The sequence below is a fragment of the Homo sapiens genome, chromosome 16 (genome assembly GCF_000001405.40).
Source record: "Homo sapiens chromosome 16, GRCh38.p14 Primary Assembly".
NCBI lineage: Eukaryota > Metazoa > Chordata > Mammalia > Primates > Hominidae > Homo > Homo sapiens.
Genome location: NC_000016.10, coordinates 22,344,819 through 22,357,675, shown reverse-complemented (window position 1 = coordinate 22,357,675; position 12,857 = coordinate 22,344,819). Strand labels below are relative to the sequence as shown.

The window sequence follows — 12,857 nt, the reverse complement described above, 5'->3', positions numbered from 1 at the left end:
GAACTGTAAAAGTCTCCCCCTCAGATTACCGGGGCAATTGCTGCCATGGGAATAAATACAGAGAAATAATCTATAAATGGAAAAGCGGGGAGAGAATTCATGGTTAATAGGCTGTTTTCCCAAGAGGGCTAAAGCCAAAGCCCTTCTCAAAACCTTTCAGTTAAATCCCCCTTGACATCTCACAGTCTGAGTCATGCCAAGCACAATAAGCTGTTGTGAAGAAAAGTCTAGAAACTGCCAGTTCGCCAGTATTTTTTTGTCCCCTACTGTGTGTCAGGAATGGACTAGATACACAAGAGCCTTCCATTCTTAGAAGACTACAGTACTGGCCTGGCACGGTGGCTCATGCCTGTAATCCCTTCACTTTGGCAGGCCGAGTCAGGTGGATCTCCTGAGGTCAGGAGTTCAAGACCAGCCCGGCCAACATGGTGAAACCCAGTCTCTAATAAAAATACAAAAATTAGCCTGGTGTGGTGGTGCAAGCCTGTAATCCCAGCTACTCAGGAGGCTGAGGCAGCAGAATCACTTGAACCTGGGAGACCAAGATTGCAGTGAGCTGAGATCGTGCCTCCAGCCTGGGCAACAGAGTGAGACTCCATCTCAACAACAACAAAAAATTGAATATTATTGTATTGTTTTGAGAGAAATCAATTTAGGGTACCTTGGGAATGCTGCCGCTTTAGACCTGCTTTAAGGTGGTCTTCTTTTTTTTTTTTTTTTTTCTTTTTTTTTTTTGAGATGGAGTCTTGTTCTGTTGCTGAGGTTGGAGTGCAGTGGCATGATCTTGGCTCACTGCAACTTCTGCCTCGCAGGTTCAAACAATTCTCCTGCTTCAGCCTCCCCAGTAGAGTAGCTGGGATTACAGGCATACACTACCTTGCCTGGATAATTTTTGTATTTTTATTTATTTTATTTTATTTTTTAGACAAAGTCTTGCTCTTGTCCCCCAGGCTGGAGTGCAGTGGCGTGATCTCGGCCCACTGCAACCTCCACCTCCTGGGTTCAAGTGATTCTCCTGCCTCAGCCTCCTGAGTAGCTGGGATTACAGGCACCTGCCATCATGCCCGGCGAATTTTTGTATTTTTAGTAGAGATGGGGTTTCACCATGTTGGCCAGGCTGGTCTCAAACTCCTGACCTCAGGTGATCCACCTGCCTCGGCCTCCCAAAGTGCTGGGATTATAGGCATGAGCCACCACACCCAGCAAATTTTTGTATTTTTAGTAGAGACGGGGTTTTGCCATGTTGGCCAGGCTGGTCTCGAACTCCTGACCTCAAGTGATCTGCCCACCTCGGCCTCCCAGAGTGCTGGGATTACAGCCATGAGCCACAGCACCTGGCCAAAGTGGTCTTAAAAGGCTTCTGAAGAGGTTATGTTTGAAATGAGGCCAGAAGGATAACTGGAATTTATAATCTTTCTTTGGTGCCATGGATCCCTTTGATTATCTAATGAGATCTAGGATAATCCTCTTAAAATTCATTGAATTACAAAGGAAACCTGTTAGAATGAAATACCTGTCAAATATTGAAAAAAGTAAATTTGTGATGTAATATAGATACGTATTAACATATTTAATAACAAGATCTAGAAACTACCATGATTTCAAATAGTGATGAATGTAGGCAGTAAATCAAGATTTCTGCAACTATAGTGCAATATGAAAATACCTGTGATTTCTGTTGATGATGAAGTCACAGATAAACCTAATACTACTAGTGGTTTATTGCCTCTGTCAAAAGAAAAAATTACGACAAACATAGTATAAAGATCTTAATTAGCTTTTATTTGAGATTCTAAAGTTGGGCAACACCTCATTCTTAGAGAATGAGGGTTTCAATGAGCTGAGCAGAGGAAGTTGGTTTTATAGACAGGGGCTGAGGAAAGCAGAAACAGAAAACAAAAAATGGGTGGTTTCAAAGTTAATTTATTTGTAAAGGTTAAAGCAGAGGGAAGTCCCTTATGCTGGCTAAAACTGGCATGTTTGGGGGCTTGGCTATTATCTCTTCTAATTTCTCAGAAGTCAGATGAACAACTTTGCTTTGGCTTGCTGACATGGAACTTTAGCACAAGTGACTCCATTTTGGTTTGGTTTGTTGGGCCTAGGGCAGGGACTCAGTCCAAACCAGTGGTCTCCTATAAATTTTAACAGATCTATTAGTACTTGAAAGAAATGTCAAATTTCATTTAGAAGTTAACAAAAATGAAGATGTAGCTGTTCAGACCCTTTAAATTCATCCATGTTCACAGACCCTCTAAAGTCTATCCATGGACCCCAGGCTAAGAACTGCTGGCTTAGGTGGAGCAGCCAGGAGAACTGCATCCCCCCGGATAGGGGATCGTAAAGGCATTAGAGGAGGGAGGCACTTGCCTTGCAGTGGGGCAACTCCAAAAAAGGCAAAGATATCTCCCCTAAGTGTGAAATTTTAAAAAAATCAATAGCTAACAAATGAAGCTGGAAAAACCACTTGAGACAATTGGGAAAATATTAATGCTGAAACGTAATAGATGTTAAGGAATTATTGAGTTTTTTTCCCTTAGGAATTGTGGTTAAAATAAAACGTCCTAGAAATGTATGAAGATGTATACTTGAGATGCCTTGGATTAGCTTTAAAATGATTGGAGGACGAGGAAAGTAGGAGAGTAGAGATGAAATAAGATTGGCTGTATGTTGATAATTGTTGAAACTGGTTGATGGGTACGTGGGAGTTCATTAAACCATTTCTCTGCATGTATATATGTTTGAGATTATCCACAATAGAAAGTTTTATTTATTTATTTATTTTTAGACATAGTCTCACTCTGTCGCCCAGGCTGGAGTGCAATGGTGTGATCTTATCTCACTGCAACCTTTGCCTCCTGGGTTCAAGTGATTCTCATGCCTCAGCCTCCCAAGTAGCTGGGACTACAGGCGTGTGCCACCATGCCTAACTAATTTTTTTTTTTTTTTTTTAAGTAGAGATGGAGTTTCACCATGTTGGCCAGGCTGGTCTCGAACTCCTGTCCTCAAGTGATCCACCCGCCTTGGCCTCCCAAAGTGCTGGGATTACAGGCATGAGCCACCACACCTGGTCCACAATAGAAAGTTTTAAAATGCAGTGGATAAGATTAGCCATCTGTAGAAATTCAGTATTTGTTTGGACTGAGAAGTTAGGAAGGATCACTCAAGCAAGGTTAAGGTAACTAGTTTGTAATTTCAGGGAATTAATGATTGTTAAGAACATACCAAAGTGAAGCGTTATGATGATGAATGCTGCTGTGGTACAGTTAAAATATAACCTAATCTTAGTGGATAACTGCATCTAAGCTGAGCCCTATGCAGGGAGACGGTGAGCATTAAGCTGAAGAGTCATCATTGATCCAGTGAATGCCTGTGTCTCCTAGACCCAAGAGAAAAGGACATTGGTCAGGGCAGGGGACGTCCAGGATTTTCCATGTCCAAGATCAACATTTCTCTAAGTGTGATCTCTGGACTGCCTGTACTAATATCACCTGGGTTTGTTGCTAAAAATGCAGAATCCTGGCTCTACTCCAGTCTCAGCCGTTTGAGGGGAAGGGACCCAGGTTCTTACACTTTAATAAATCTTCTTCCAGGTGAATCTTAGCACATGTAAAGTTTGAAAACTGTAGCTTTAAATAAAGATGACAGTAGCTTCTCCTTATTGAGCAATTTACCATCTGCCAGATCTCATGCTGAGCTCTCTACATATATTAACGTTTTTGTAAATTATATATTTGTATATGTCAGGGAGGAAAAATATTTTTTTCCTCAACCTTCATGAGTGCTTAGTTGGAAAGGACCCCTGCAACAAAAGACAGATTAACAAGAGAAAAACAAGCTTACTAACATATCTATTTCATTTATATGTGTGGGAGATACCCAGGGGATGAGTCATTCTCAGAGGTGGCTTTGAATTCCAGCTTATGTAGTATCTTCAACAAAGAATGGTAATTTTTTAGAGAAGTGACAAGACAAAGGGGAAGAACTTTGTCTAGGGGCAGAACTTGTGGGAAGGCAAGTAAGTGGTGATAAAGGCCCGTTAGCAAAGCTTGTTAGTGTGGATTCCTCTGGTGCTGTCTTCTGGCCCATAAAGGTCTAAAGTTGTTAGTGGTTAACCTTTGTTCTCCCTGGTAGAGAGGGAGGAGGCAGGAACCTTTTTATGCCAAAGACGCATGCTTTGGGGTGACATAGTCCAGTCTCTCCCACACACATATTTATCTTTACAGCCTTATGAAGTAGTTGATGAGGAGAACTCACATTAGAAAAATGTGCTTGCTGTAGGTTACCCAGTTCTAAACAGCAAAGCAAGACCTCAAACCAGGTTCTGACTCCAAAGCCTGTGCTCTTAGCTACTATACCACTGCCTCCCATCAGACTCCTCTGATCCCATGTCTACCAGAGACTCTCATTCATGAATCGGCCTTTCACATGCCCTTTGTGGGGCAGCTGTGTCCTAATAGAGGATGTGAATATTCTTGTCACTGGGCAGGAACAGTTCCTGTTGTATATTAATAAATTAATGTCTGGCTTATGCATTAGCCTTTTTAAAGGTAGTTCTGAGTCCTAAAGAATACTTGATAATTTATACTTGATATAAAGAAGCTTGAAACATTTCTGCAGCTATTATATATATATTCTTGTGATTCTAAGCCTTTTTTCCGCTCCTGTGGAATCTCATCAATTCCTAAGAGATTGAACATGTTCCCATCAATGACAAGAACCTACTATGGAATTACTAGCCCGAGGGCAGGATTAAGGGCCTACTCCTTTAGTTCTGAGAAAGCTTCACGCATGAGAATTAGTGGTTGATTTCCAAAGGACCAGAAGAAGCTGGTGGGAGTTGAGGCAGTGAAGACTACACACAGGCTTTTATAGACCGTGCCATGTGCTCACCTTTCTCATTTAATTCTGCCAGTTCTACATGGTAGGTACTAACAGATCCACTTACTAATTCCGAACTCAAAAAGCTCTATAAAGCAAGATTTTTTTTTTCCCCTTAAATTTGCAACAGATTCATTTGGTAGTAGATCTTTACCTGAACTGATGTGAGGCTGTTTATAGTCTTAGTTCATACTTTTTGATGCAGAAATATTAATGCTTGATTACAGGGTGCTGCCCAGACCTCACAGGTATTATAAGGTGTCAGCTGTGTGTCAGGTATGAGCGCCATGTTGTCTTTCTAAAATTTAAAGAATTTTCCAAAACACTTTTGACTTCAAGAGTTTCAGATGAGAAAGTTGAAGTTAGGTTAAGTGTTTGTTCAACTCTTTGCTGCTGAGTTATGTAAATGGATTTGAAAAAAAAAAAGCCATATATGCTTTTTTCAACACTTTAAGGGCCCGTTGAGTGTCATTTAGCCCATTGTTTGTTAGCCTTGCAAATCCTTCTAGAGTTGTAGAAAAAGCCTCAAGAAGAGTGTGTTGTGTTGTGTTTGAGACAGTCTCTGTCACCCAGGCTGTAGTGCAGTGGCACGATCTCGGTTCACTGCAACGTTCACCTCCCACGTTCAAAAGATTCTCATGCCTCAGCCTCCTGAGTACGTGGGATTACAGGCGCGTGCCACCACGCCGGACTAATTTTTGTATTTTTATTAGAGGTGGGTTTTTGTCATGTTGGCCAGGCTGGTCTTGAACTCCTGGCCTGCCTTAAGCAATCTGCCTGTTTTGGCCTCCCAAAGTGTTGGGATTACAGGTGTGAGCCACCATGCCTGGCCAAGAAGAGTGTTTTTAAAGTCAAGTTCTGAGTCTTTTACAGTTTGATCATCAGTAAGCTTCAAACCATTTCTCCCCTCTTTCTGGTTCTGTCCAGGGAAATACTGTGACTTTTTCCTTTGGAATATATACTGTGTTTTAGTGTCTTCAGGTAGAGCTGAGCAGGGAGGGAATCAAGGTGACTTACACTGCGGCATTAAGGTTGGGATTATTCCCCTTTATCCTTGGCCATTTAGGAAGCAGTCTTAGCAGGACCAGAATAAATCATCTGATAAATTTCTCGTGAATAAGGAGGATAATGGTGATAAAACTCTCATAAAATTAAAAATAACAGGAGTCTTTGAAGCATATTAAGCTAAAATATATTTCTCGTCAAAGCAACATACTTTTCATTTTTTTTGGTCCAGAATGCCTCATTCAGAGAAAGAGATTGATTTTTTTTTCCAAATTAAGATCCTCCACATAGAAATAGGAACGTTTTACACTGTTGGTGGGAGTGTAAATTAGTTCAACCATTGTGGAAGACAGGGTGTCAATTCCTCAAGGATCTAGAACTAGAATTACCATTTGACCCAGCAGTCCCATTACTGGGTATGTACCCAAAGTATCATAAATCATGCTGCTATAAAGACGCATGCACACGTATGTTTATTGCGGCACTATTCACAATAGCAAAGACTTGGAACCAACCCAAATGTCCATCAGTTGATAGACTGGATTAAGAAAATGTGGCACATGTACACCATGGAATACTATGCAGCCATAAAAAAGGATGAGTTCATGTCCTTTGCAGGGACATGGATGAAGCCGGAAACCATCATTCTCAGCAAACTATCACAAGGACAGAAAACCAAACACTGCATGTTCTCACTCATAGGTGGGAATTGAACAACGAGATCATTTGGGCACAGGGTGGGGAACATCACACACTGGGGCCTGTCGGGGTGGGGATAGCATTAGGAGAAATACCTAATGTAAATGATGAGTTGATGGGTGCAGCAAACCAACATGTCACATGTATACCTATGTATCAAACCTGCACATTGTGCACATGTACCCTAGAACTTAGAGTATAATTTTTTTTAAAAATCCTCCACGTTAGGCTTTATTTCTGTTAAACATGATGTTTTTGCTTAAACTTTGATCACATGTTCCATGTTTTTTGTCTTAAGGGATTGTTATGTCTCACTTTAGATTTTTTAGTTGAATATTAATTTTATGCATGGTATATGCTTTGGAAAATTAGCCTCACAATGCACTGGGGTATTGGTGAGCATTAGAGGAGCTAAGCATATAAAGGACAGCCTGTGCTCATTTCTTATGAAGACAGGGAGTTTAATTTCTTCTTTTCTTAAAATAAACATATGGTATTGTGGTATAATAAAAATTATATATTTGGTCTTTGTCCCTGGTTTCTGGCATAGAACTCCTAAAACCCTTGGAATTTCCTGATAGGTTGAGGTCTGGTCACCAGAGAAGGCAACCACATGATTAGAGGGTTAGATCTATCAGTCCCAGCCCCACAACCTCTGGATAGAGGGAAGGGTTGGAGCTTGAGTTCAGTCACCAATGGCCAATAATTGAATCAATCATGCTGATGTGAGAGAAGACCTGGAGAAAACTGAAATGGGTCTAAAGGAGCTTCTGGGCAGTGCTGGGAGGCCAGTGAGCCCAGAGATGGAGACTCTATGTCAGCCCCACCCCAACAAGAGTTGGTGCTGACAATCGGAGAATTGGTGTTGGAACAGCAGAACAGCAGGTATCTTTTTTTTTTTTTTGAGATGGAGTTTCATTCTTGTTGCCCAGGCTGGAGTGCAATGGCGCCATCTCGGCTCATTGCAACCTCTGTCTTCCAGGTTCAAGCAATTTTCCTGCCTCAGCCTCCCAAGTAGCTGGGATTACAGGCGTGTGCCACCACACCTGGCTAATTTTTGTATTTTTAGTGGAGACGGGGTTTCAGCATGTTGGTCAGGCTGGTCTCGAATTCCTAACCTCAGGTGATCCACACGTCTTGGCCTCCCAAAGTGCTGGGATTACAGGCGTGAGCCACCGCAGCCAGCCAAGAAACAGCAGGTATCTTATCTGTTTGTGTCACCTGGTCCTGATCTTCTCTTACAGTATCTGACGAAGCAAGTGGAACTTCTACGGCAGATGAACGAACAACATGCAAAGGTTTATGAACAATTAGACGTCACAGCAAGGGAACTGGAAGAAACAAATCAAAAGCTAGTTGCTGACAGCAAGGCCTCACAGCAAAAGATTCTGAGGTAAATTTTCTAGAATCTGACAAGGAAGGACTAGGGGGAAGTTCTTTAGTATAAACTAGAATAGAACATGGCTGCAGTGGGTTTGGGTCAATATGGGATAAGGTTTAATTTAATTCTTTTTGGAGAATGGAGATTAAATAGACATCCTTTCCAATTAAGAAAGCCCAGTGTGAGTGGTTTGCACCTAATCTCTCCTCACCGCTTTTGCCCTTGATTCAATATGACAAGCAGCAGTGGCTTCTGTCTGTTCCTCACAGCCTGACTGAAACGATTGAATGCCTGCAAACCAACATTGATCACCTCCAGAGCCAAGTGGAGGAGCTGAAGTCATCTGGCCAAGGGAGAAGGAGCCCGGGAAAGTGTGACCAGGAGAAACCGGCACCCAGCTTTGCATGTCTGAAGGAGCTGTATGACCTCCGCCAGTAAGAGCCTGCCTTTCTGTGGAGTTACAGCAGGGACTGTCTCATGTCATTGGCACATTCTGATTTCCAGTAGATTGAAAGTACCATTTTAAGAAAAGTCACTTAGCTATTAAGCTACCATTGGTTTGAACAAAATCACTTAAACATATAAATTACAGAGTTCTTAGATATTAGTAGTTCTCATTTTGAAAGTCTTGGAACACTTATTTCAGTGTTTTTAATGTATTAAATCATAGTTTAAGATGAATTCTGATAGACTAGATTTGGGAGTTGTGTTTTACATTAGAGTGAAGAAAAACAGAAATACTGGTAAAACAAAAATTCAAGCGAACAGGAGATTTTTTGCTTAAAGAAGTACCTTTATAATTTAGAGTTATAAGTCTGAATCTTTAAGAAGTATTTATGGAACACTTGTGTGGCAAGCTGTATGCTAGACCCAAGGGTTGGCGAGCAAAATAGTTTCTACCCCTGTGAGCTTTCAGTCTAACGGAACGGCAGATAAGCAAATAAAAACACAAATAAATAGTCAAGGTGCTTCAGACTGAGCAGGAGAAACCAGGTGGTTCATTTGGTGGGTCTCAACCTTGGCTGTACATCAGATCACCTGTGGGGTTTTTCAAAATGCAAATACCAACACATTTCCTCAGGCCTAAATCAGAATTTCTAGGTGCGGGTAAAAAGCTGCCCAGGCAATTCTGATGAACATTCCTGGTTAAAAATCACCACAGCAACAGTAATTTGCTGTAGTGATTCAATCGTAGTTACATATTATGAATCATTTGGAGAGCCTTTAGAAACCCTCAGGCCAGGTAGCAGACCAACTAGGTTGGAATCTGTGGGTTGGGACCCAGGCACCAGTACTTTTTAAGGTTTCCCTTGTGAGGTCATTGTCATACTGCTAGAATAGATGTTCTCTAGTACTTTTAACATTAAAAAAAGATTTGTCACAAAAATTGAGTTTGCTTTCATGTGTTTATTTACCAGCCTCACACAATTCCATTTTAGCCACTGCTCCAAGTGTGGCTAAAAACCAATCACTGTTGGCCGGGTGTGGTGGCTTACGTCTGTAATCCCAGCACTTTGGGAGGCTAAGGCAGGAGGATCACCTGAGGTTGGGAGTTCGAGACCAGCCTGACCAACATGGAGAAACCCCGTCTCTACTAAAAATACAAAATTAGCTGGGCGTGGTGGCGCATGTCTAAAATCCCAGTTACTCGGGAGGCTGAGGCAGGAGAATCGCTTGAACCTGGGAGGCTGAGGTTGCAATGAGCTGAGATCGCTTCACTGCACTCCAGCCTGGCGACAAAGTGAGACTCCGTCTCAAAAAAAAAGAAAAAAAAATTAGTCACTGTCACAGCTCCTCAAATTTATTTAGTTGAAAAAAAATCACCAGTCTTCCTCTCGTCATTTTCAGTGGACCTGTGTAATATATTCTTTCAATATTTTTTTCCCTAGACACTTCGTGTATGATCATGTGTTCGCTGAGAAGATCACTTCCTTGCAAGGTCAGCCAAGCCCTGATGAAGAGGAAAATGAGCACTTGAAAAAAACAGTGACAATGTTGCAGGCCCAGCTGAGCCTGGAGCGGCAGAAGCGGGTGACTATGGAGGAGGAATATGGGCTCGTGTTAAAGGAGAACAGTGAACTGGAGCAGCAGCTGGGGGCCACAGGTGCCTACCGAGCACGGGCGCTGGAACTAGAGGCCGAGGTGGCAGAGATGCGACAGATGTTGCAGTCAGAGCATCCATTTGTGAATGGAGTTGAGAAGCTGGTGCCAGACTCTCTGTATGTTCCTTTCAAAGAGCCCAGCCAGAGCCTGCTGGAAGAGATGTTCCTGACTGTGCCGGAATCACATAGAAAGCCTCTCAAGCGCAGCAGCAGTGAGACGATCCTCAGCAGCTTGGCAGGGAGTGACATCGTGAAGGGCCACGAGGAGACCTGCATCAGGAGGGCCAAGGCTGTGAAACAGAGGGGCATCTCCCTTCTGCACGAAGTGGACACGCAGTACAGCGCCCTGAAGGTGAAGTATGAAGAGTTGCTGAAGAAGTGCCAAGAGGAACAGGACTCCCTGTCACACAAGGCTGTGCAGACCTCCAGGGCTGCAGCCAAGGACCTGACTGGAGTGAACGCCCAGTCTGAGCCTGTTGCCAGCGGCTGGGAACTGGCCTCTGTCAACCCAGAGCCCGTGAGTTCCCCTACAACACCTCCAGAATACAAAGCGTTGTTTAAGGAGATCTTTAGTTGCATCAAGAAAACTAAGCAGGAAATAGATGAACAGAGAACAAAATACCGATCACTCTCCTCTCATTCTTAATTGAACCTCTAGCTCTACTACTAATTTGCCTATTGCCTATCGCCTCTCTCTCCCATTCAGACAAGTGTTTGTAGACTCTGAAGCCTAATGTTACTCATGACGTTTGCCTCATTGCTTTGCTTATTTAGCAAATGCATACAACGAGGAAAGGAGGTGGCTAGTGGTATCAGTTCTCTGATCCACTTCCATTTAAGCTCCCCAGGAAATCCCATGACAAACTGGCCTCTGGCTGGCGCGCTGATTAGACTTCAGTTCCTGAAAAGGACCAGTGGAGGGAAGAGCTATACTTCTGGAGAAGTAGGCCTGGAGTTACTACAGTATGGGGGAAAAGGGTCGAGTTAGAACAAAGCTAAGGCAATTCCTATTGCTTCCTTGCGCAACTTCTCAAAACGATGAAAGTCAGAAGGCTGTCAAACTCAAATATCTTTGCAAACAGTTTGAATACTGTGAATTCATTACGAAGAATGTTCGAGAGAAAGCAGGGGTCTAATCCAAAAGAAATGTCATTAACCAATACTCCAAGTCCTTGAGTTTTGTTATATCTGAACTAGTTGAACTGTGACTGACAGGTAATCCTAATATATCCAAATCCAACTGAATACCAAATTGAGATGGCAAATTTTTGTTTGATATAAGTTAGCTTGTTAGCATATGCCCTAGAGGGCCTCCATCCCTGTATTCTAATGTTTTTACTCAAAGCTCTAGCCTTTAGGATAGGTGAATATGTAAATCTTTTATCACTTTCTCAAATTCAAACTAAAGGGGAAAGATCAAACCCCTTCCCTTCCTACCTGTTTTCTGAGCTGGCTGACTTGCCAGCCACAAGCTGCTCTTGCAGAGTTCTTACCATTCCTGTAAATGTTTTGACTTGTTGCAGAAATTCCTATCTACTTTATTAAGCAGTATTGATCTGACTGTGGAAACATCCTCTCACTTGCATTCTTTTAACTTAAAACTATTTAAGAACTGATGTTCCGATTATTGTATATATTTTTCTAAAAACCAAATAAAGCTACCTATGAAAATGAACAGATGGATCTGTGTCTTACTTTCAATATAAGCCATTTCGCTCTTATAACCAACTGTTCACTTTTTTTCTTCCAACAAATATCGCGAGAAAGATTTGCAGTGATTTTTTTTTTCCTATTTTAAACAGGGAATCCTTGGATTTGTGTAACTTAATAGCACAAATTCTGCTCATATTGCTAAATGCTCATTAAAACTACTCTGGACAAACATTTTCAAATTTATATACTCTGTAATTTTCACTATTTCAGAAATGTCAGACTTGGTTCTGAATTAATAGCATTTGACAAATTGATTCTCAAAACATTTGATCAACCATAGCAAAGAAACTATACTATTCAAACTATACTATTCAAACTATACTATTAATGTTTGAATAGTATAGCTTATTTAAAAACAGTTTGCATTTCTATTAATAAGACAATATTTTTTAATCTGTTAGCCATTTGTAGTCTCCTTTGCCTATTTAAAGAGCTCTATTTATATATGCAGTTTTGCAGTTAGAAGTTTGAAAGTGTTTTGTCCCAGATTATCTTAATTTTTATCTGATTTTTTTGTTGTGTGTGGTTTTTTTTTGTTTTTTGTTTTTTTGAGAAGGTCTTGCTCTGTTGCCTAGGCTGGAGCGTGGTGGCATGAACACGGCTCACTGCAGCCCTTGACTTATGGGCCCAAGCAATCCTCCCACCTCAGCCTTCCTACCAGAGGTGCGTGCCACCATGCCCAGCTAATTTTTTAACTTTTGGTAGAGATGGGGTTTTGCCTTGTTGCCCAGGCTGGTCTCGAACTCCTGGGCTCAAGCAATCTGCCCTGCCTTGGCCTCCCAAAGGTAACTCCAAAGGCAACTCCTGGGATTACAGGCACGAGCCACCACACCCAGCAGTTTTTACCTTGTTAATGGCATTTTTTTTTCACCAAGCACAATTTTATGTATATGAAAAAAAATTTTTTTTTTTTTTTTTAGAGCGGGGGCAGACAGCATCTCACTCTGTTGCCCAGGCTGGAGTGCAATGGCACGATCTCAACTCACTGCAACCTCCACTTCCCGGGTTCATGTAATTCGCGTGCCTCAGCCTTCCCAAGTTGAATAGCTGGGACTGCAGGCACGTGCCACCATACCTGG

The 12,857-nt window shown here is 42.0% G+C and overlaps 1 protein-coding gene across 2 annotated transcripts in view, besides 2 other annotated features; it reads left to right on the top strand.

Moving 5' to 3' along the window:
- CDR2 (cerebellar degeneration related protein 2) overlaps positions 1-11,740 on the top strand; it is a 28,684-nt gene extending 16,944 nt beyond the window's left edge. For both annotated transcript variants that reach the window (XM_024450143.2, NM_001802.2), the window contains 3 exons: positions 7,827-7,975; positions 8,233-8,397; positions 9,853-11,740. In XM_024450143.2, coding sequence (XP_024305911.1) covers positions 7,860-7,975; positions 8,233-8,397; positions 9,853-10,711 — 1,140 coding nt within the window. In that variant the 5' untranslated portion in view covers positions 7,827-7,859 and the 3' untranslated portion in view covers positions 10,712-11,740. The remainder of the gene's footprint in view (positions 1-7,826; positions 7,976-8,232; positions 8,398-9,852) is intronic.
- Positions 326-405: an enhancer, noted in NCBI's record as "active region_10571". NCBI's record gives its function as "activates an Ori minimal core promoter by ATAC-STARR-seq in GM12878 lymphoblastoid cells {active_cell/tissue: GM12878}" and the evidence as "EXISTENCE:reporter gene assay evidence [ECO:0000049][PMID:35858748]".
- Positions 10,299-10,799: an enhancer, noted in NCBI's record as "H3K4me1 hESC enhancer chr16:22358198-22358698 (GRCh37/hg19 assembly coordinates)". NCBI's record gives its function as "activates a minimal SCP1, AML or CMV promoter by ChIP-STARR-seq in primed H9 embryonic stem cells {active_cell/tissue: H9 hESC(primed)}" and the evidence as "EXISTENCE:reporter gene assay evidence [ECO:0000049][PMID:30033119]".
- Positions 11,741-12,857: the final 1,117 nt, after the last annotated feature.